Source organism: Homo sapiens, chromosome 5 (assembly GCF_000001405.40).
Source record: "Homo sapiens chromosome 5, GRCh38.p14 Primary Assembly".
NCBI classification, from domain to species: Eukaryota; Metazoa; Chordata; class Mammalia; order Primates; family Hominidae; genus Homo; species Homo sapiens.
The window spans coordinates 78417289-78442659 of NC_000005.10; the positions used below are offsets into that span (position 1 = coordinate 78417289).

Genomic DNA, 25371 nt, shown 5'->3' on the forward strand with positions numbered 1-25371 from the left:
AACAATATACAGAACTATTTCTTTTTAACTTAGAATGTGTAAGTCTAGGGCCTCATGAGAACACATTTATCCTGGGTCATTTTCTTGCTTGCAGCATCAGAGGTAGCATCTATAGAAGGAGAAACTAAAAGTTGAACTGGGACCAATGTTTCTGAAGTACCTGTAACTAAAATCCATCCTATTTCTTTAGCACTGGCAAATACAAACTATTTCTATGAGAGTTATGTTAGTAAAGACAGTAACAAAGAGTAGGAAATTAACAATTAGACTGCAGTATGTTAGCACATTTTAGTACTTTTCCCCTCTTAACTCATACTTAAATCATCAATACAATCCTGTGAGGGGTGATAGAGTTTTTATTCTCATTTTACAGATATGGAAACTAAGGCTCGGAGGAGAGAGTAAGTTGCCCAAGGCGACCTTGCCAGTAAGTGGCTAGCCACTTCTGGTTCCAGAGCCTCTCTTCTTTACGAGTATTCACTGCCGCTTCTCAAATAGTATGAGATTGGTATGAGAAATGAACTATATGAAATTTGAATAGTATGATAAATGGAACACAGGAGACTCATTGGGGAGAATCAGAAATAGGTTATTGTTCTTTCTATAAAAATTACCCTGGTCTGGGAAAAGTAGGTAAAATTGAATTTTTAAAAACTGTGGGATATAACATCTAAAATCGGGAAATGGCCTTAGGTGCTGTTTTTACCCGCTATTTTCATGTTTTGACTTCTTTATTTTAATTTTTTATTTCCCCCACCATTTCTCAAGTCTTATTTTTAATCTGGTTTCTTTATGTAGACACATTTTTTTCCCTTTACAGTTTGAATTTGTTTTTCTCTGCATTTTTAAAGGTTCTATAATTCTTCAGCTTCCTTATCATGACTGTTTCATGTTTTCTTTGTTGTAGGGTTTTCGTACATGTATCTTTTGGATATTATTTTTTCCCAGATTTTGAGTATTCTAAATTTGATTCTTTGGTATTGGTTTAATCTTGGACTTAACAGAAAACTTGAAAAAATTAGAAGCTAGTCTTTCTCCACTTGAGATAGGAATTATAACAGAATTATATTTGAAGATTTAAGATGCTGAGGAGAAAATTGAAGTTTAAAAACTGGATGGCCCTTTCATGCCAGCCAGACTCTTTGGACTGTGAAATAAATCTGTTTTAGGGTAGAAGCACTGGATATGTGCTTTCTTTTTGTTTCTTGTTTTTTCTGTACATAAATGGTTCCTGCTAAACATGGTATGATATGACACTGGAAAATTATTTTACTATCTAATGTGCTCTAAGGTGATGATATTCTGAGAAAATTTTTTAAAAATCTAAAGCTTGTCTTTCAGAGTTCTAGGAATACAAAGATATAGTTCTACAGTTTTTCTGAACTTTTGTTAACATAATAGAGTTTTTCTTTATTATGAAACAAAAAATAATATCACATTTGTTATAATATAAATAACCTTTTCTTTTTCTAAAAAAAATTTACAGGTAGAAAAAATAATTGGCCACCTCTTCCTAGCAATTTTCCTGTCGGACCTTGTTTCTATCAGGATTTTTCTGTAGACATTCCTGTAGAATTCCAAAAGACAGTAAAGCTTATGTACTACTTGTGGATGTGTGAGTATACAACAATTTACATCTTTGCTTAGAATTTGTATTTTTGTTGTCAAAATCCGCATTTTTATTTCAAGGATAGTATAGCAAACCAGTCTTCTTTTTCTATAGATAAAGCTTAATAATCATGATTTCAGAGTGAAACATATCCTATTTAGGTACTTCAGAATTGTACTATATGTGACAATGTAAGTCCTTGGCTGAGAAAAACTTGTATGTTGAGAACTGGCATTCTTTTGAGGAAAAGACAACTTCTCTGTCATGTGGGTAAAATTTTATAAGATTCTTTTTCCTTGAAAGATGTTATCTAGACATGATTTGCTTGGAAAAAATAGTGCATACTAATTTTATGCAGAGGAAGGCCATTTAAAAGAATTCTGTTAAATGTAGGCGTTTTAGCTATTTTTAAAAGGGCATAAAATTATTACATAAACTAAGTGTTCTTTTTATAGCTTTGAGTACAGTTTACTTTTTGTTTTCAATTGCGATACTTTTATTATTGAAAGTGCTTAATTAATACAGGACATTTTGTTGAACGGAACATTAGAATATACGTTTGGGGCTCTGATGCTTACATCACTTTGAGTATAATAACTCATGGAATACTGAAACAAAATGTCAAGCCGTTAACAGTTTTACTCTGTGTGCACAGACCTCCCACTTACTCTCTGTTTCATTTTTATTCCAAACAGTAGTCTCAGCCTCATTTTGATACCCTGTCAGAAGGGGAGGTAGCTATTGAGGGTTCTCACATGCACAACATCTGGGTTAATGGATAATTTGTAGGGTACATTCTTGATGGAGGAAATTTACTTGTTTTTACTTTATGATTAATGAGACTACCACCCTTCCCTTAATGGATGAGATAATTTTCCTTAAAATCTTTTAGGAGCATTCTTCATGTATGTCAAGTTGTTTTGGAATGTGAGAAGTGTTTCCTAATGGATAGTCTATTTTTAACTCTTCATTAGTATTTTTCGAGATATTCTTGATCTAATATCTTTTGCTGAATCCTCAGTGTCAGTAGTATATATTTTTAATATTAAATGTCTGATTCCATATATGTACATGCTAACCAACTCTTATTTAATCAATATAATATATGCATTTATATTTTATATATGTTTATTTTTTTAAATGGGCAGAAATTGTCCTAGCATTTTATTTTATTTTGAGACAGAGTCTTGCTTTGTTGCCTAGGCTGGAGTGCAATGGCACGATCTTGGTTCACTGCAACCTCCGCTTCCCGGGTTCAAGTGATTCTCGTGCCTCAGCCTCCTGAGTAGCTGGGACTACAGGCACATGCCATCACGCCTGGCTAATTTTTGTATTTTCATCTATACTTGGAATAATTTTCATGAACTTTAAAGTGTAATTATACATATATTTTATCTTTCTTTCAGTGGATTAGGAAATAACCTAATTTGAAAATTGAAATTTAAGTTAGAATGTTCTTAAGGTCTAAAACTTTTTAAGGCAGCTGGATGCTATTTAATGCTGCAGAGTAATAATTTTCTATTTCACAATCTTCAATTCTGTTTTTAAGATCTTAACACAACCACCCTTATTTTGAGGCCAAGGGTTTTGAGTAAATTTATTATGAGCAAGCATTCCTGAGAGTTAAAAATCCTAATGGGACTAGAGTAATGAGTGAGAGTGTCTCTTTTGTGATAGAATTGAATGGGATTTTAAAGTGGGAAAAGCTCCTGCATTTCTATGGCTGAAAAATTGAAGCTTACAGAGGTTGAGTGATTGGCTTAATATTAGATGACTACAACCTAAGTGACTTCATCTGGAGCTCTTTTTAAAAAAAAACAAAAAACAAAACTCTAGAGCTTGTTTACTTATCTGGTGGGTTAGGTAAGAGCAAATTTAGGCATCCCAGAATGTGTGTGTGTATCCTGTTTCATTAATTATTAACTTATTTGATTTGTAAAGAAATCTTAAAGTTTGAGATTTAAAAAACTAGATCCAATAGGTTTTCCCAGTTGTTAATTTTAATTCAAGTAATTTGTTGGCATATTTTTATTGATTTGATAATTTACATTAAACATCATTTTAGCTTATATAAGAATGTACTTACTATAATAAATTCAGCCTGTGAATAAATTTTTAAAAAATCCTTTGAAACAGTTATTAATTACAATGGGTCAAAGTAGTTCTTTAGGATCATGGTATAGTTAGATGTTACTCAGATTTTTTGTTTTTGGTCTGTCAGGGAAAGCAATTATTAACAGCATATGATGAATTTGTCAACATCTATTTGTGTTAACCAAAAGAAAAGCCTGCCACAGTAGCTAAAATGTATCATGTTGTGTGGGGGAGTGAGGAGGGGACTTAATAAATTTAATCCTCTACCAAAACGCAAGTTTTTTTCAGGATTTTACAAATGGACAGCTCTATGAAGTTGAATGAACAATCCTTATACATTGACTATATAGTCACTAGAAATTGCTACTGTATTAGTATTTTTAGTCCAGTGTTTAGTCTGCAGCCCCATTCTGTAAAGATATGGTTTTTCCTCCTAAGTCCTGGGTCTTTTCCTGGCAGACACTGCTTTTCTTCTTGGGCTTCAGATCAAGAGACATCACGTTTCCTTTTCGGGAAGAAGCCCTTAAGGTAGTGCGCCTCTGGTTTAGCTACATCATTGCCTGTGAGGAGGAGAGGGCCAACAGAATTTTTGCCAAACAGTACATGTATTAAGACTCGCTTTCCTGTGTATACTCTGTTTTCAAATCAAATATGTAAGATACAACAGTGTTTTGAAAAATATAAATGGAAACATGGAGTAGAATACATTTGCTCTTAGGAAGTATTTTTTTATTTACAATTTTTTGTTGGATGAATTCATAAATTGAATGTAAATCTTTCTTTTTCTATTTTGTTTTCTGATTCCACAGTCCATGCAGTAACACTGTTTCTAAATATCTTCGGATGCTTGGCTTGGTTTTGTGTTGATTCTGCAAGAGCGGTTGATTTTGGATTGAGTATCCTGTGGTTCTTGCTTTTTACTCCTTGTTCATTTGTCTGTTGGTACAGACCACTTTATGGAGCTTTCAGGTAAAATGTGTGTACTTTAAAATACACTCTTTAAAACCTGTGAAGTAAATAATTCGTAGTATACATTAAAGGGAAAATTGATGCATTTTCATTAAAAAATTCTTGTATTGTTGTGTAACATACCTTCAGGAAAGTTCAATATAGCATGCCTGTGTATTCATTGGATTTTGTAAGTCATAAAATTCCATTTTTTTCTCCCATTTGATAAAAGACCAAACATGAAAATTGATGGAAAAATAAGAACAGTCTTAGAAGTTAATATTTATAAAATATTCTCTTCCATATGTTATACTTCAAGGAAAATTTTGCTGTTTGCCCACCCCACCTCCCAAATCAAAATCCCAATTGGTGCTTATGGTTTTTTTTTTTTTAAATTAACCTAAGTAAGGTAAATATACATGCAATATTTAAAATGAGCCATTTGCACCTAGCAACTTGGATTATTTTCTTTATAAATCCATTTTAGGTTTTTTCAAAGGCAGCACCATTTTAAAAACGATTTATGCTACTAGGTTAAGTATAATGCTTTACATAGTATATTTTAATCAGTGGTTAGGGTTAACATTTCCTTAGCGCATGTTCTGTGGGATATTAATAGGTGCTGGGGGAGAAAAAAAGAGCTCATAAGCTTAGTAAATTTGGGAACAGCTGGATAATAAGGTTAAGCAAGTTTCTTCATTTCAGGATTTCTTACACTCTTTAAGTACCTAGTATGATTTGTGCCTTATGACTTGACCATGCAACCATTATTTTTCTGTGGAGTACTTTGTTGGACTATTGCTTTAAGAAGTATTGGGAAATACTGATTGAAATGATAGTCCTATATGGGTTCATATATTTAATAGTTTTTTTAAACTCATTTTTATTTGAGTAAATTCTTGTGAATAACCATTTCAACTCTCGTGAATAAGGGGTAACATTACTAGGATATATGCGTGTGTTGTTTAAAGGATATATTAGGGAAATTAGAGGCCCACATTTAAGTGTTCAGTATGTTTTGCCATTGCAACCTAAAATCTCTTTAGTTAACCAGAATGTGTAACACACGCGCGCGCGCACACACACACACACACACACACACACACACACACAGAGTTAGAAACCCAGATCTGTAAACAGATGAGGGAAAAACAGAAGAGAACAGGAGATGGGAGAACATTAGGGAATTTGGAGAGAAAATGTATCAGACAATGAAGAAGTAAATTATTACTTAGAAATGGCATAAAGAGAAGAAATGATGAGAGGAGGAGTGAAGGGAAGAAATGATGGGAGAAGGGAAAGGAGAAAAGAACCTTTGGATACATTGAAATATGGGAGATTGGTTGCCAAGGAACGGGGAGAGCTTCTCCTGTAGAGATGGGTTGGAGAGGAATGAAAGGAACATAGTTACTCCTTGCATGATCTGAGTTATTGCTGTTATTTTCTTCGTTATCTAAGCATGGCTCACAAGGCTTTTTCTGTTTTTTGTTAGTTTGTTTTGTTTTGTTTTTTTTGGACATCTAACCTCTGCCTAATGACCTCCATCACATTACCAATATGTTATCGATCTGTGATGATGCTGGCTGGTGGGAGTGAGGATATCTTTATGAAACTTTTCAAAAAAGTGACCTGAGACTAGGGAATTTGGATTTTAAACCTTCTGTTACTTATGTAGCCAAAATAAATGACTAAAAGCCAGCTTTGTGCCTTTTATTTCCTGAAGTCACTTGGTATCTTTTTTTTTTCCCCCATTTTGGCAGTTGAAATAAAAATGCTTGGTGGAACATTTTTACTTGTGGCATTATTGATCCCTAGGCTGAGTTTTTAGCTGCATCTCAGTCTTTTAGAGTATATACAAATATATTAATAATCTGGTTTTCACTGTGCAGAGTAGAAATGAGAGGAATACTTTTTTTTTTTTTGAGATGGAGTTTTGCTCTTGTTGCCCAGGCTGGAGTGCAATGGCTTGATCTCGGTTCACTGCAACCTCTGCCTCCTGGGTTCAAGCAGTTCTCCTGCCTCAGCCTCTCAGGTAGCTGGGATTACAGGCATGCACCACCATGCCTGGCTAATTTTGTATTTTTAGTAGAGACAGGGTTTAACCATTTTGGTCAGGCTGGTCTCGAACTGCTGACCTCAGGTGATCCGCCCACCTTGGCCTCTGCCCACCTCGGCCTCTGCCCACCTCGGCCTCCCAAAGTGCTGGGATTACAGACATGAGCCACTGCGCCCAGCCTCGAGAGGAATACTTTTTATGGGGAAAGTTGAATTAAAGTATTTATAATCATTAATATACCTTCCTGTTATGTATCTTTGGCATTTCCTTATATTGATATATTTACAGGACTTTGTTCTCCGTAAGGTAAACTCATTGTAAAAATCTCAAGGAAAATTATATAGTGAAGTTTCAAATGTATGTGTTTTTAAAAGTTAAGTTTATTAGGTATCAGGATTAAACATGAAGTTGTCATTTTGTTATTTATGTAGTTTACAAAGATTGTAACTTGGGGCTGGGCATGGTGGCTCATGCCTGTAATCCCAGCACTTTGGGAGGCAGAGGCTGGCGGATCACATGAGGTCAGGCGTTTGAGAACAGCCTGGCCAACATGGTGAAACTCCATCTCTACTAAAAATACAAAAAATTAGCTGAGTATCGTGGCATGTTTCTGTAATCCCAGCTCGAGGCAGGAGAATCGCCTGAACCCGGGAGGCAGAGGTTGCAGTGAGCCAAGATCGTGCTACTGCACTCCAGCCTGGGCGACAGAGTGAGATCCTGCCTCAAAAAAAAAGAAGAAAAACAACAAAAAAACCCCAACTTGGTCCTGAATTTTGTACTTCCACAAATCACTAGGCATTATGCAAATACATCAAAATATTAGGTAATTATTAACAAGGCAGCATTATTGTTGAATGTTGTTGAGTAACTATTAGAAACAGACTGAGAAAGAGTATTTGCATAATGCTTAGTGATCTTGGCTTCCCCACTTAAAAAGCTGTGCGGTTCTGAGCACATGCAGTAAAACTCAGAGCCTCAGTTTGTTAGGTTTAAATGAGGGATATTTGTAGAGTTGAAAGAAGGATTAGAGATAATGTATGCAAGTTTTGCATTATAGATGGTGAATAAATGGTAGCTGTAATTAATTTTTAACTTTTTTTGGACCCTCTTAGATTTTATCATTTACATTTTATGATCTATAAGTGAACTGTGATTTCTTATAGATTATATTTTACAGAGCCATTATTTGTAGCTTTGAAGACAATTTTCAAAGTAGTACTTTCTCCCACTTTTTAATTATGATGTATTTAATGCATACCAAAGAATACCTGAAACACAAGTTAAAAGGCATAATAATGAGTCATCTATGAACTGTGAGCCCACTGGTCAATTTAAGAAATGGAACATTATCAATACCGCTGAAGCACTGGTATGTTTCCATTTCCCTGCTCCATAGGTAACCATTAGGTTGAATTTTGATAATTTTTGCTCATTCTCTAGCATAATTTTAGTTTTTCATATATATTTGTACTCCCAAACCTTTTTTTAGCTTGTAGAGAATATTTTTAAAAGTATTTTAATATTTATAAAAGTGATACATCTTTGTATACAGGTTATTTTATATGCAGTTTTAAGTAGCTGTGCAAATACTTTTTTGGTAAAATAAAGACCTGTTTTAATCCTTTTCTACCAACAGTTCTTGCCGCTGACTTATGTGGGCATTTACCTTTATATTTTAAATAATGATCATATACTGCCATTCCTTGATTTTGTTTAAGTAGCTTTATTAGGATATATTGTATATACTATAAAATTCACCCACTCTTATGGGAAAATTCAATGATTTATTTTATTTTATTTTACTTTAAGTTTTGGGATACATGCGCAGAATGTGCAGGTCTATTACATAGGTGTACGTGTGCCATGGTGGTTTGCTGCACCTATCAACCCATCATCCAGGTTTTAAGCCCCGCGTGCATTAGGTATTTGTCCTAATGCCCTCCCTCCCCTTGCCCCCCACCCCTGACAGGCCCTGGTTTGTGATGTTCCCCTTCCTGTGTCCATGTCTTCTCATTGTTCAACTCCCACTTAGAGTGAGAACATGAGGTGTTTGGTTTTCTGTTCCTGTGTTAGTCTGCTGAGAATGATGGCTTCCAGATTCCTCCATGTCCCTGCAAAGGACATGAACTCATTTCTTTTTTATGGCTACATAGTATTCCATGGTGTATATGTGCCACATTTTCTTTATCCAATCTATCACTGATGGGCATTTGGGTTGGTTCCAAGTCTTTGCTGTTGTGAATAGTGCTGCAATAAACATATGTTTGCATGTGTCTTTATGGCAGAATGATTTATATTCCTTTGGGTACATACCCAGTAATGAGATTGCTGATCAAATGGTATTTCTGGTTCTAGATCCTTGAGGAATTGCCACACTGTCTTCCACAATGGTTGAACTAATTTACACTCCCAACAGTGTAAAAGCGTTCCTATTTCTCCATGGCCTTGCCAGCATCTGTTTCCTGATCTTTTAATAATCACCATTTTAACTGGCATGAGATTGTATCTCATTGTGGTTTTAATTTGCGTTTCTCTAATGACCAGTGATGATGAGCTTTTTTTCATGTTGGCTGCATAAATGTCTTTTGAAAAGTGTCTGTTCATATCTTTTGCCCAATTCAATGATTTTTAAGTAAATTAATAGAGTTGTGCAATCATTACCACAATCAGTTTTAGAACTTTTCCATCCTTCCCAAAATTTCCCTGGATTCATTTGCACACAATTCTCATTCCTTTCCCCTAGCTCCAGGAAACCACTGATCTGTTGCCTGTGTCTAAAAATTTCTCTTTTCTGAGCATTTCATGTAAATGGAATCATAGAACATCTAGTCTTTTGCTGTTTTCTTTTACTTAGAATAACGTTTTTGAGGTTTATTCGGGCTGCAGAATGTGTTAGTAATTCATTTCTCTTTAATTGTTAAATGGTATTCCATTGTATTGTTACATCACATTTTATTTATGCATTCACCAGTTAATGGATATTTGGCTCTTTTCAACTTTTGGCTTTTTGGATAATACCATGAATATGCATGTGTCTTAGTTCATATTTGTTGCTCTAAAGGAACACCTGAGGCTGGGTAATTTATAAAGAAAAGAGATTTATTTGGCTCGTGGTTCTGCAGAGTGTACAAGAACAATGGTGCCAGCATTTGCTTCTAGTGAGGACCTCAGATTGCTTCTCCTTATGGTGGAAAGCAAACGGGAGCAGATGTGAGTAGAGATCATGTGGTGAGAATGAAGAAGCCAGTTGGGGGAGAGGTGCCATGCTCTTTTTAATAGCCAGCTCTTTTGGAAACTAATGGAGAACTTATTCCTTATCATGAGTACTGCACCAGGCCATTCATGAGGGATCATGAGGGATCGATCATTCATGAGTGATACCCTCATAACACAAACACCTCCTGCTAGGCCCCACCTCCAACATTGGGAATCAGATTTCAGTGTGAGGTTTGGGGGATCAAAAATCCAAACTGTAACAGCGTGTACAAGTCTGTCTATGGCCATATATTCATTTCTCTTGAATATATTTTTAAGAGTTACCATAACAATATTCCTAGGAGTAGCCTTACTGGGATGAAACTTTTTTTTTAAAACGTGTCTAAATTTTTAAGAAACTGCCAAACTGTTTTCTAAAGTGGGTGTACCATTTCACATTCCCATCAGCAACGTCTGAGGGTTCTAGTTTCTCTGCATCCTCACTAACTCTCATCTTTTGTCTTTTGATTATTGCCATTTTAGTGGGTATGTAGTAGTATCTTGTGGCTTTAATTTGCATTTCCCTAGTTACTGATGAAGTTTGAGCACCTTTTTATTTGCTTATTAGACGTGTGTCTTTTTTGGTGAAATGTTTGTTCAAGTTTATTGTCTATTTTAAAAATTCTGTTGTTGACTTCTTACTATTAAGTTTATTTTTAAAATATATTTTGTTGTAAGAGTTCTGTATTGGAGATATAAGTTGTTTTGTTTTGTTGTTTAACAGTTTGCAGATATTTTATCCCAGTGTGTGGCTTCTTAGTGGTGCCTTAAGAAGCACAAAAACATTCAATTTTAAGAGTCTAATTTAACTATTTTTTTGGTCTTGTCTGGTTAGTATCATGTCTAAGATCCTTTTGCATAACCCATGGCCATAAAGATTTTCTCTTATATTTTCTCCTAGAAGTTTGTGGTTTATCTCTTGTGTTTAGGTGTATAATACATTTTGAGTTAATTTTTGTTTTTTGTGTATGAAGGTTATTGGTCTTTATTTGTGTAAGGGTCTAAATGCATCTTTTTGCTGTGGATATCCAAATATTCCTCCACTACTTGTTAGAAAGACTATATTTTGTAAATTATCTTTTTGTACTTCTGTTGAAAAATCACTTGTCCATATATGGAGAGGTCTATTTTTGGACTTTTCCCATTGAATTGTTTGGACACTTTTCTTGCAAATCCATTGACCAGTGATGTAGGATTTATTTTTGGACTCAGTTCTGATCTATTGAACTATGTGCCTATCTTTATACCAATATGCCTTTCTTGACTAATGTTAATGTTGCTTTATAGTTAGTCAGTCTTTCGACTTTCTTCTTTTTCAGAATTGTTTTGGCTATTCAGAGTCCTTTGCATTTCATTTAAATTTTGGACTCAGCCTGTTTCTACAAAAAATAAAAAATAAAAATAAAAACCCTGCTGTGATTTTGATAGGGATTGAGTTAACACTGTAAGCCAGTTTGGGGAGAATTAATACCCTGACAGCATTGATTTTGTGAATATGGATTTCTCTCCATTTATTTATATTTTTATAATTTCTCTCAGCCATGTTCTTCAGTTTTAATTGCACAAATCTTATACTTCTGTTGTTAAATTTGTTACTAAGTATTTTATCCTTTTTATGTTATTTTAGGTGGAATTATTTTAATTTCCTCTTTGGATTGTTTGTTGCTAGTAGTTAGAAATAAAGTTGTCTTTCATATATTGATCTTGTATCATTCTACCTTGCTAACCTCCTTCACTAATTCTAGTAGTTTGTGTGTGTGCATGTGCTGGTGCACATGCATGCTCAAGATTCCTTGGGATTCCATATATATTATGATAATGTCTTCTGCAAATAAAAATGTTTGCTTATTCCTTCCAAAGTAGTTATCTTTAATCAATCCACCTTCCTTTTTTCCTCCTTTTGCTTTATTAAACTGGCTACAGCTTCTAGGATAGTGAGAATAGAAGTAGGAGGAGTAACATCCATGCCTTATTCCCAATTTTAAGAGAAAGCATTCACCATTAAGGATGATATTGACTGTAGATTTTTTTTTTTTTGTAGATGCCCTTTGTTGGTCTCAGGAACCTCTCTTGTGTTTCCAGTTTGTTGAGTTGGTTTTTTTTTTTTTTTTTAATTTTTTTTTATCATTAATGGTGTTGGATTTTTCCAGATGCTTTTCTGTTGCCATGATCTGTGGAGATAATCATGTGATCTTTGTCCACTTACTCTGTTAATATGGTGAGTTACATTGATTGACTTTTGTAAACCAACCCTGCATTTCTGGCATACTTTCCATTTGGTCATTTTGAGTTCCTTCTGGGAGTTGCAATGAGGGTGCTGATTTTTATGATTTGCCCTACCTTGGTTGAAATACGTTTCCAAGAGAGTTGCAGGGAATGAGAGCAGTTCTAGGCAAGAATGCCACAGACTCATGCTGTTCTTACCAGAGTTCAGTAGTTTCCATGAATAGATGTTTCTCAGTTTGTTATGTTGTGTGCCTTTGGACAGAATACTGAAATGGTTATTTTTGAGTTTGATCCATATTTATTGTATTTTGAGAAGCGGATTTGTTGACTTCCTCATTCTGTCATGCTGGAAGTGAATTTCCATTTCTTGATTTTTAAGTTTTAGTTGTCTTGTACTCATTTGCTGCTATGGAGAATAAAGCTTCAGCTTTTCTAAAGCTTATGTTGCCCCTTTTCCCCAACACACATGCATCTTTTCTCCCCACAGTCCTTCTGTTACATGTAACAATGATTTTAGGTTAGACTAGTATTTGGAGTTCTTTATTTATTACTATGTAAATAGTATTTACAGTATTTATTTATAAATACAGTATTTATTTATAAATACAGTATTTATTTATAAATACAGTATTTATTTATAAATACAGTATTTATTTATAAATACAGTATTTATTTATAAATACAGTATTTATTTATAAATACAGTATTTATTTATAAATACAGTATTTATTTATAAATACAGTATTTATTTATAAATACAGTATTTATTTATAAATACAGTATTTATTTATAAATAAATAGTATTTATTACTATGTAAATAGTATTTACAGCTGCACTTTCTAGTATATCGTGATTATATTTTGTTTTTTGTACAGCTGTATTGCTACAGTAAATGCCTTATTTTGATCTGTTGCTTTATTTTACACACATACACACTCCTTCCTTCCCTTCTGATTCTTTCCATATTTTCTGGCAAGATTGAAAAACTATGGTTCATCCTTTCTGTTTATATAACCAGAAAAAGAGATTTTTTTTTCCCAAAGCGAAGTCTCAAACTCTTCATGAGGAAAGGTAATATTCTTTATATAACTACAAGAAGAACCTAGTGCTTATCAGATTCTCTTACGTTTATATATAAATATATACTGTTTTAGAGTCTACAAATCATGTTCAGTACTTTGTATTATTTAGTCTTTATGGTCTTTTGGGCAAATTATTAGGAACTGAGGTTTTAACCCAGATCTTCAGACTAGAAGCTTAGGATGTTATGTTCCTACTTTATTATATTTACATTATCATTTAGTTTGCAGTGAATCCAGGTACATCAGTGATTTCCACACAGTAAGTTAACTGACTTTGGAATATTTAGTAACAATGTTTATTTCTTGACTAGCTCTTTAACTAGTGTAGTTAGTATTTGTTACAAAGTTCTCTGCCCACTGAGTGTTGAGAATGTGGAGAAGATAAATAGCTTGTTAACTTTGTATGCAGCTTATTTCCTAATAGCTTTTCTGAGTATGATCTAAGGACTCTTGGGGCCTTCCTTTCAGAGAGCTTAGGTTCCTCCCTTTTCTAACCATATACATATGTGAAGCAGATTTCTTCATTTTCAACCAAAACAACGTATTGTATAACAGATTGAGTGCAGATACAGATATAAGAAACCATATAGATATAACATTGCTAGGAATTTTAAAACTCTAAAATTAACACTCCTGCATGCACTTGAAAGAATATATAGCCTGCTCTTGTTGGGTAAAATGTTCTAAAATGCTTCAAAATATTCAAAATGCTTTTGTACTTTTTTTTTTTTTTAGCATTTTGTAAAATGTTCAAAATGCTTTTGCAGACGCAACTATAGGTTGCCAACCAAAAAAGCTACTTTATATATGAAGTTGACAAGTCTATATATTAAGTTGACAGTCTCTTTTAATTAATGTGCTTATGCCATTTATATTTAATATAATTACTTATCTGCTTGGATTAAAATCTGTCATTTTACCATCTATTTTCTGTTTATTCCAACTATTCTTTGTTTCTTTTCCTTTCTTTTTGCCTTTTTTTTTTTTTTTTGGATCAGTTGAGTATCTGTTAATGACTGTCTTCTCCCCTATTTCTTCATTATTTATATCTCTTAAAACTGTTTTTTAGTGATGCCCTAATTTTTACAATATATGTCTCTAATCATAGTCTCTGTATTCAAATAATATTATTCTGCTTCATATGTACTGTAAGGATCTCCCAGCAGAGTACTCTCAGTTCCCCCTTCCCAACCTTTATACAGTTTTAAAATGTATTTTATTTTTATATATGCTAGAAACACACAGTACATTACCTTTAAAGAATTTTTTTAATTTGAATGGGTACATAGGAGGTGTGTATATTTATAGGATATATGAGATATTTTGATACAGGCATGCATTGTGTAATAATTACACTATGGAAAAAGGGGTAGTCATCCCCTCAAGCATTTATCCTTTGTGTTACAAACAATTTAGTTATACTCTTTTAGTTATTTTAAAATCTACAATTATTTTGACAATAGTCACCCTGTCGTGCTATCAAATACTAAGTTACTCATTCTTTCTAATAATTTTTTTGTATTCATTAACCATCTCTACCTCTCCGGTGCCCTGGCTTCTGCCTACTACCCTTCCTGGCCTCTGGTCACCATCCTTCTTCTATCTCTATGTGTCACTACTTTTGCTTTAGATTTTAATTTTAATTTGCTTTTAATTTTAAAAGAATTAAATATAAGGAAAAATGAATTTTACATTGGCCTTTATTAATACCATTTCAGCACTTTTCATTTGTGTGTGTGGGTGTATATGTGGAGATCCATGTTTTTGTATCATATCATAATCTTTTTGCCAGAAAATTTTTCTTTAATATTTTTGGTAGAACAGGTCTGCTAATAATCAGTTCTCTGATTTTTGTCTGAAAAAGTCTTCATTTTTTGTTCATCTTTGAAAGATATTATCAATAAGTATAATATGGGTTCACAGGTATTTTTATTGTTTTTACTTTCTTTCGTACTTTAAACACATCATTTTCATCCGTTCTGGCTTGCAAAGATTCTGGCTAGAAGTCCACTATAATTCTTATCCTTATTTTTCTGTATTTAGTGTGTCTTGTTTTCTCTGGCTGTCTTTAATATTTTTTCTGTATTTCTTGTTTTGGGGTGTTTGAATATGATGTGTTAAAGTACGTGTGTGCAATGTGTGTTATGTATATGTGTGTGTTTCTGTTTATCCTTAGTGTTGTCTAATGTTCTTGGATCTCTGGTTTTGAGTCTTCATTAATTTTGGAAAATTCTCAGTCATTCACTGTCTCTTTACATATTTCTTTTGTAACTTCTTTATCGTCGCTTTCTGTAATTTTTATTACATATGTGTTAGAATTTTTGATATTGCCCCATGTCTCTTAGATGTTCTATTCTTTATTTCCATTCTTTTTTACTTTTGCATTTCAGTATATATAATTTCTATTTTCAGTTTCACTGATTCTCTCCCACCCTCAGTTTTGCTGAGTATATTGGTGAGCTTCTCAAAGGTACTCTTCATCTCTGTTATGATATTTTTCATTTCTACCATATCCATTTGGTAATTTCCTATATCTTATATATATGCTAAGATGCCCCATCTCCTCATGCATGTTGGCCACCTTTTTGACTAGAGTCTAAGAACATATTAGTCAATTATTTTAAATTTTTTGTCTGATAATGCCAACACCTGAGTTATATGTGAATATGGTTTTCTTGATTGCTTTGTCTCTACATACTTGACAGTGTGTCTTTTTTTTCTTGTTTCTTTTTATGCCTCATAATTTCTTGTTAAAAACTAGACATCTTTTGAAGACGGTAGAGACTGAAATAAATAGGTTTTGTGCCTTAAGTGGGAGGTGAGATGGGATAGCAAATCCCATCCTCCTCAGGGCACAGCTGAAGACCCACTGGACATGGCTTTTCTGTTGTGCTAGGCTTTTAGTGTATGGATGGTGTGCTGCTGTGGTGGGGGCAGGTGTCAGGTAATTCAGTCAGAAATTGATCTGGGTTTGGGTTTTTGCTCACCATGACTGCCCTCAGTACCTCAGAGACTTCAAATTACTTTGGTGTTACCTTATGTTTAGAGTGAGTCCTGCTTTTCCAGAAGCTTTTTCTTGGTGTTTGCTCCATTAGCTTCGGGTTTCCCCTTTGTGCCTGCCCCTCAGAGAGGGCTTCTCTTCGCACACTCTTCCCCCAGGAGTAGAGTGCTGTTACTTGTTACTTTATACTTGGAGCATGGTGGGCATGTTGGGGAGTTAGGGGTGGAGGATATTCTTGTTCTGGTTCAGCCTCAGCCTTAGGCAGCCTGTGTCTCTGGAGTGGAGAGATCTGCCCTTCTCAGTGATCCTGCCCCACCACCATCTCTAAGGTCTCTGTAATAGATATATTCCTGTCCCACCTCCAGGGTTAGAGGATTTTTTTTCCTGTGCCCTTTCCCCAGCTGCAGTGGGTCTTTAGCTGTGCCCTGAGGAAAATGGGCTTTGCTATCCCATTTTACCTCCCACATAAAGCTTTTGTTTGGAAGAGTTAAAGGGGAGTTTTGGTGGCTGCTCTTTGCCTCCCCAAGACCTGTACCCTGAATGAGGCCAGCCTCCTGTCTTTCTTCTGAGCACCTGGTGAGATCTGTGGAGAAGAGCCTGTGAGTGAGTGATGATACCCATGTAGCTTTGGCTCCTGGGGGTTCTGTACTCTCTCTAACCAACCTTTCATCTTAGAGCAATGCATCACAAGCTTTAGCTGAATTCCTTTTTGCTTGTCTGTTCCAGGTAAACAAGTGCTAGTCTTTTATCTCTCTTTGAGTTATTTTTGGGGTTGTTTGCCCTTTGATGGGTGTTAAGCTGTGATTTTGCAAATGAATGTTTGTTATGAGAGTTAGAAACAGTGGTCTTTTCCACTTTTCTACGTCCTAAGCTGAAGCCTTCCCCTACTACATCTGAGAGATATAGGAAAGTTCCTTCTTAGACACAGATACATTTACTTGGTGGTCCTCCTCTTCCTCCTCCCTCTCCTCCCTTCCTTCCTTCTTTCTTCCTTCCTTTTCCTCCTCCTTCTTCAGAAGTTTTAAAAGCACTTTAGTTTTTCTTTTTACAATCTATAAGGTTTTTAAAAAATTTTTTAACATTTTGTTTTTACATCTATGAGTTTTCTTTTTAAAGGTAAACCTGTTTGTGAAGATAATCCTCTTGTGCTATATGGCATCATTTGCACTTCAGAGTAAATCACTACTGTCAGATATCTCCTTCTGAAAAACTGTGATGCAGAAGGAAGTGTTAGCTTCCAGTTTGAAAATCCCTGTTACTGTTACAGTATTTGAGGTTTATAATAAGTATAAAAATAACATAAGAGGAATGAGATTACCTTTTTAAAAATACTTTTTGATGAATCATTTCTGGATTCTGGATTCTGTGTGTATTCTATTAGCTGGATATTTTGTACACATCTGATTTTTAAAAGGAAATATGGATAAATGGTAGCATTATTCTAGAACAGCAACAGTAGGTATGTCAGAAACATGTATGGTGTATCTAAGAGTAGTTTAGAGGTAGAACAGAGCAGGATGAAACATGTTTACTTATTTCATACATATGTAAATATAAGTTATATATAGTGTTGACTTAAATCATGAGATCTATAAATATAGAAAAGGAGAGCTTTATTTCTTACAGAGGATTACAGCCTGCAGGCTTATTAACATGACCTACAATATGAAGGTTTTTTTTAATTTTTTATTATACTTTAAGTTCTAGGGTACAAGTGCACAACGTGCAGGTTTGATACATAAGTATACATGTGCCATGTTGGTTTGCTGCACCCATCAACTCATCATTTACATTAGGTATTTCTCCTAATGCTATCCCTCCTCCAGCCCCCAACCCCTCATTGTGTGATGTTCCCCGCCCTGCGTCCAAGGGTTCTCATTGTTCAGTTCCCACCTATGAGTGAGAACATGCAGTGTTTGGTTTTCTGTCCTTGCGATAGTTTGCTCAGAATGATAGTTTCCAGCTTCATCCATGTCCCCGCAAAGGACATGAACTCATCCTCTTTTATGGCTGCATAGTATTCCATGGTGTATATGTGCCACATTTTCTTAATCTAGTCTATCATTGATGGACATTTGGGTTTGTTCCAAGTCTTTGCTATTGTGAATAGTGCCGGAGTAAACATACGTGTGCTTGTGTCTTTATAGTAGCATGATTTGTAATCCTTTGGGTATATAGCCAGTAATGGGATGGCTGGGTCAAATGGTATTTCTACTTCTAGATCCTTGAGGAATTGCCACACTGTCTTCCACAATGGTTGAACTAATTTACATTCCCATCAACAGTGTAAAAGCTTTCTTATTTCTCCACATCCTCTCCAGCATCTGTTGTTTCCTGACTTTTGAATGATTGCCATTCTAACTGGCGTGAGATGGTATCTCATTGTGGTTTTGATTTGCATTTCTCTGATGACCAGTGATGATGAGCATTTTTTCATGTATCTTTTGGCTGCATAAATGTCTTCTTTTGAAAAGTGTCTGTCCATATCCTTTGCCCACTTTTTGATGGGGTTGTTTTTTCCTTGTAAATTTGTTTTGAGACTTTTGTAGATTCTGGATATTAGCCCTTTGTCAGATGGGTAAATTGCAAAAATTTTCTCCCATTCTGTAAGTTGCCTGGTGACTCCGATGGTAGTTTCTTTTGCCATGCAGAAGCTCTTTAGTTTAATTAGATCCCATTTGTCTATTTTGGCTTTTGTTGCTACTGCTTTTGGTGTTTTAGTCATGAAATCCTTGCCCATGCCTATGTCCTGAATGGTATTGCCTAGGTTTTCTTCTAGGGTTTTTATAATTTTAGGTCTAACATTTAAGTCTTTAATCCATCTTGAATTAATTTTTGTATAAGGTATAAGGAAGGGATCCGGTTTCAGCTTTCTACATCTGGCTAGCCAGTTTTCCCAGCACCATTTATTAAATAGGGAATCCTTTCCCCATTTCTTGTTTTTGTCAGGTTTGTCAAAGATCAGATGGTTGGATATGTGTGGTGTTATTTCTGAGGCCTCTGTTCTGTTCCATTGGTCTAAATATCTCTTTTGGTATCAGTACCATGCTGTTTGGTTACTGTAGCCTTGTAGTATAGTTTGAACTCAGGTAGTGTGATGCCTCCAGCTTTGTTCTTTTTGCTTAGGATTGTCTTGGCAATGCAGGCTCTTTTTTGGTTCCATATGAACTTTACCGTAGTTTTTTTCCAATTCTGTGAAGAAAGTCACTGGTAGCTTGATGGGGATGGCATTGAATGTATAAATTACCTTGGGCAGTATGGCCATTTTCACGATATTGATTCTTCCTATACATGGGCATGGAATATTCTTCCATTTGTTTGTGCCCTCTTTTATTTCGTTGAGCAGTGGTTTGTAGTTCTCCTTGAAGGGGTCCTTCACATCCCTTGTAAGTTGGATTCCTAGGTATTTTATTCTCTTTGTAGCAGTTGTGAATGGGAGTTCACTCACAATTTGGCTCTCTGTTTGTTATTGGTGTATAGGAATGCTTGTGATTTTTGCACATTGATTTTGTATCCTGAGACTTTGCTGAAGTTGCTTATCAGCTTAAGGAGATTTTGGGCTGAGATGATGGGGTTTTCTAAATATACAATCATGTCATCTGCAAAATTTGACTTCCTCTTTTCCTAATTGAATACCCGTTATTTCTTTCTCTTGCCTGATTGCCCTGGCCAGAACTTCCAACACTATGTTGAATAGGAGTGGTGAGAGAGGGCATCCTTGTCTTGTGCCGGTTTTCAAAGGGAATGCTTCCAGTTTTTGTCCATTCAGTATGATATTGGCTGTGGGTTTGTCATAAATAGCTTTTATTATTTTGAGATATGTCCCATCAATACCTAGTTTATTGAGAGTTTTTAGCGTGAAGCGCTGTTGAATTTTGTCAAAGGCCTTTTCTGCATCTATTGAGATAATCATGTGGTTTTTGTCTTTGGTTCTGTTTATGTGATGGATTATGTTTATTGATTTGCGCATGTTGAACCAGCCTTGCATCCCAGGGATGAAGCCCACTTGATCATGGTGGATAAGCTTTTTGATGTGCTGCTGGATTCAGTTTGTCAGTATGTTACTGAGGATTTTTGCATCGATGTTCATCAGGGATATTGGTCTAAAATTCTCTTTTTTTGTGTGTATCTCTGCCAGGCTTTGGTGTCAGGATGATGCTGGCCTCATAAAATGAGTTAGGGAGGATTTCCTGTTTTTCTATTGTTTGGAATAGTTTCAGAAGGAATGGTACCAGCTCCTCTTTGTACCTCTGATAGAATTCGGCTGTGAATCCGTCTGGTCCTGGACTTTATTTGGTTGGTAGGCTATTAATTATTGCCTCAATTTCAGAGCCTGTTATTGGTCTATTCAGAGATTGAACTTCTTCCTGGTTTAGTCTTGGGAGGGTGTATGTATCCAGTAATTTATCTGTTTTTTCTAGATTTTCCAGTTTATTTGTGTAGAGGTGTTCATAGTATTCTCTGATGGTAGTTTGTATGTCTGTAGGATCGGTGGTGATACCCCTTTATCATTTTTTATTGCATCTATTTGATTCTTCTCTCTTTTCTTCTTTATCAGTCTTGCTAGCAGTCTGTCAATTTTGTAGATCTTTTCAAAAAACCAGCTCCTGGATTCATTGATTTTTTGAAGGGTTTTTTATGTCTCTATCTCCTTCAGTTCTGCTCTGATCTTAGTTATTTCTTGCTTTCTGCTAGCTTTTGAATGTGTTTGCTCTTGCTTCTCTAGTTCTTTTAATTGTGGTGATAGGGTGTCTATTTTAGATCTTTCCTGCTTTCTCTTGTGAGCATTTAGCGCTATAAATTTCCCTCTACACACTGCTTTAAATGTGTCCTAGGGATTCTGGTACGTTGTGTCTTTGTTCTCATTGGTTTCAAAGAACATTTTTATTTCTGCCTTCATTTCGTTTTTTACCCCATAGTCATTCAGGAGCAGGTTGTTCAGTTTCCATGTAGTTGAGCGGTTTTGAGTGAGATTCTTAATCCTGAGTTCCAGTTTGATTGCATTGTGGTCTGAGAGACAGTTTGTTGTGATTTCTGTTCTTTTACATTTGCTGAGGAGTGCTTTACTTCCAATTCTGTGGTCAATTTTAGAATATGTGCAATGTAGTGCTGAGAAGAATGTATATTCTGTTGATTTTGGGTGGACAGTTCTGTAGGTGTCTATCAGGTCCGCTTGGTGCAGAGCTGAGTTCAAGTCCTGGATATCCTTGTTAACCTTCTGTCTTGTTGATCTGTCTAATGTTGACAGTGGGGTGTTAAAGTCTCCCATTATTATTGTGTGGGAGTCTAAGTCTCTTTGTAGGTCTCTAAGGACTTGCTTTATGAATCTGGGTGCTCCTGGATTGAGTGCATATATATTTAGGATAGTTAGCTCTTCTTGTTGAATTGATCTGTTTACCATTATGTAACAGCCTTCTTTCTCTCTTTTGATCTTTGTTGATCTGAAGTCTATTTTATCAGAGACTAGGATTGCAACCCCTGCTTCTTTTTGCTTTCCATTTGCTTGGTAGATCTTCCTCCATCCCTTTATTTTGAGCCTATGTGTGTCTCTGCAGGTGAGATGGGTCTCCTGAATACAGCACCCTGATGGGTTTTGAATCTTTATCCAATTTGCCAGTCTGTGTCTTTCAACTGGGGCATTTAGCCCATTTACATTTAGGGTTAATATTGTTATGTGTGAATTTGATCCTGTCATTATGATGTTCGCTGGTTATTTTGCCTGTTAATTGATGCAGTTTCTTCCTAGCATCGATGGCCTTTACAATTTGGCATGTTTTTGCAGTGGCTGGTACTGGTTGTTTTTTTCCATGTTTAGTGCTTCCTTCAGGAGCTCTTGTAAGGCAGGCCTAGTGATGACAAAATCTCTCAGCATTTGCTTGTCTGTAAAGTATTTTATTTCTCCTTCACTTATGAAGCTTAGTTTGGCTGGATATGAAATTCTGGGTTGAAAATTGTTTTCTTTAAGAATATTGAATATTGGCCCCTACTCTCTTCTGGCTTGTAGGGTTTTTGCCGAGAGATCTGCTGTTAGTCTGATGGGCTTACCTTTGTGAGTAACCTGACCTTTCTCTCTGGCTGCCCTTTACATTTTTTCCTTCATTTCAGCCTTGGTGAATCTGACAATAATGTGTCTTGGAGTTGCTCTTCTCAGGTAGTATCTGTGTGGCGTTCTCTGTATTTCATGAATTTGAATGTTGACCTGCCTTGGTAGGTTGGGGAAGTTTTCCTGGATAATATCCTTTAGAGTGTTATACAACTTGGTTCCATTTTCCCCGTCACTTTCAGGTACACCAATGAGACATAGATTTGGTCTTTTCACATAGTCCCATGTTTCTTGGAGGCTTTGTTGATTTCTTTTTACTCTTTTTTCTCCAACACTTCATTTCATTCATTTGATCTTCAATCACTGATACCCTTTCTTCCACTTGATCGAATTGGCTACTGAAGCTTTTGCATGAATCACATAGTTCTCGTGCCGTGGTTTTCAGCTCCATCAGGTCCTTTTAAGGTCTTCTCTATGCTGTTTATTCTAGTTAGCCATTCGTCTAATCCTTTTTCAAGGTTTTTAGCTTCGTGATGGGTTTGAACATCCTCCTTTAGCTCGGAGAAGTTTGTTATTACGGATCGTCTGAAGCCTTCTTCTCTCAACTCGTCAAAGTCATTCTCCGTTCAGCTTTGTTCCCTTGCTGGTGAGGAGCTGTGTTCCTTTTCAGGAGAAGGGGCGCTCTGATTTTTAGAATTTTCAGCTTTTCTGCTTTGGTTTCTCCCCATCTTTGTGGTTTTATCTACCTTTGGTCTTTGATGATGGTGATGTATAGATGGGATTTTGTTGTGGATGTCCTTTCTGTTTGTTAGTTTTCCTTTTAACAGTCAGGACTGTCAGCTGCAGGTCTGTTGGAGTTTGCTGGAGGTCCACTCCAGACTGTTTGCCTTGGTATCACCAGCGGAGGCTGCAGAACATCAAATATTGCAGAACGGCTAATGTTGCTGCCTGATCCTTCCTCTGGAAGCTTCGTCTCAGAGGTGCACCTGGCCGTATGAGGTGTCTGTTGGCCCCTACTGGGAGGTGCCTCCCAGTTAGGCTACTCTGGGGTCAGGGACCCACTTGAGGAGGCAGTCCGTCCGTCCTCAGATCTCAAACTCCATGCTAGGACAACCACTACTCTCTTCAAAGCTGTCAGACAGGGACATTGAAGTCTGCAGAAGTTTCTGCTGCCTTTTGTTCAGCTATGCCCTGCCCCCAGAGGTGGAGTCTACGGAGGCAGGCAGGCCTCCTTGAGTTGTGGTGGGCTCCACCCAGTTCGAGCTTCCCAGCAGCTTTCTTTACCTACTCAAGCCTCAGCAGTGGTGGACGCCCCTCTCCCAGCCTTGCTGCCACCTTGCAGTTCGATCTCAGACTGCTGTGCTAGTAGTGAGCAAGGCTCTGTGGGCGTGGGACCCTCCGAGCCAGGCACAGGATATAATCTCCTGGTGTGCCGTTTGCTAAGACCATTGGAAAAGCACAGTGTTAGGGTGGAAGTGTCCCGATTTTCCAGGTACCATCTTTCATGGCTTCCCTTGGCTAGGAAAGGGAATTCCCTGACCCCTTTCACTTCCCAGGTGAGGTGACACCCTGCCCTGCTTCGGCTCACCCTCCGTGGGTGGCACCCACTGTCCAACCAGTCCCAGTGAGATGAACCAGGTACATCAGTTGGAAATGCAGAAATCATCTGTCTTTTGTGTCGATCATGCTGGGAGCTGCAGACCAGAGCTGTTCCTATTTGGCCGTCTTCAAACGGATCACTATAAAGTTTTGATAGTTGATTTAGGGTTTGAAGTTATGTTAACACTTTATTGAAGAGTTTAGGGGGGAAAATGATGTTTCAAAGTATATGATTAAAATAGTTAGGAAATTTCAAGTGTAAGAGTGATAGGACCATCAAGAGAATTAATATTAAACTTTTCAAGTGGTATTAGTAAAAAGCTGGCTGGGTCAGGGCACGCTGGCCCATGCCTGTAATCCCAGCACTTTGGGAGGCCGAGGCAGGCGGATTACCTGATGTCAGGAGTTTGAATCCAGCCTGACCAATGTGGCAAAACCCCGTCTCTACTAAAATTACAAACAAAACAAAACAAAAATTAGCCAGGCATGGTGGCACGTGCCTGTAATGCCAGCTGTTTGGGAGGCTGAGGCAAGAGAATTGCCTGAACCTGGGAGGCGGAGTGAGCCAAGATCAGTGAGCCAAGATTGAGCCACTGCACTCCAGCCTGGGCAACAGAGTGAGGCTCTGTCTCAAAGCAAAAAGGTGACTGGGTGTGGTGGCTCATGTGTATAATCCCAGCATTTTGGGAGGCCAAGAGGAGAGGATTGCTTGAGCTTGGTGCTCGAGACCAGGCTGGGCAACATGGTGAAACCTGATCTCTACAAAAAGTACAAATATTAGTCGGTTGTCATGGCATGTGCCTGTAGTCCCAGCTACTCGGGAGGCTGAGGTGGGAGGATTGATTGAGCCCAAGAGGTTGAGGCTGCAGTGAGCTGTGATCATGCTGCTGCACTCTAGACTGGGTGACATAGTAAGACCTTGTCTCAAAAAAAGAAGGAAAAAAGCATGATAAATAGTTTCATGATGTGGTATTCTAGATGTTTGAAAACTCAAACTTGTACTGTTTAGTATTCTCTGTTCAGATAGGTATCATGGAGGCTTATTTGCAGAAAAATGTTTGAGTTTTTTGTTTGTTTGTTTGTTTTGAGACAGAGTCTTTCTCTGTTGCCCAAGCTAGGGTGCCGTGGCTCTATCTCTGCTCACTGCAACCTCAGCCTCCTGGGTTCAAGCAGTTCTCCTGTCTCAGCCTCCTGAGTAGGTGTCCACAACCATGCCTGGTTAATTTTTGTATTTTTAGTAGAGACAGAGTTTCACCATGTTGGCCAGGCTGGTCTCGAACTCCTGACCTCAGGTGATCTGCCTCCCTCTGCCTCACAAAGTGCTGGGATTACAGGTGTGAGCCACCGCGCCCGGCTGAGTTTTGTTTTATAAGAGCATAGCCTATGTAATAGCTTGGAAACAGTCCATTTGTGACCTAGGACCTAATCAATGTTGATTTCCGTTTTCCTTTTATTTA

At 36.6% G+C, this 25371-nt stretch overlaps 1 protein-coding gene across 4 annotated transcripts in view; it reads left to right on the forward strand.

Annotated features, from left to right (window-relative positions):
* SCAMP1 (secretory carrier membrane protein 1) overlaps positions 1-25371 on the forward strand; it is a 120123-nt gene that overhangs the window by 56672 nt on the left and 38080 nt on the right. For 3 of the 4 annotated variants that reach the window (NM_004866.6, XM_011543727.4, NM_001290229.2), the window contains 2 exons: positions 1487-1615; positions 4513-4672. In NM_004866.6, the coding sequence (NP_004857.4) occupies positions 1487-1615; positions 4513-4672 (289 nt within the window). The remainder of the gene's footprint in view (positions 1-1486; positions 1616-4512; positions 4673-25371) is intronic. The other variant, NR_110885.2, reaches the window with a different exon arrangement.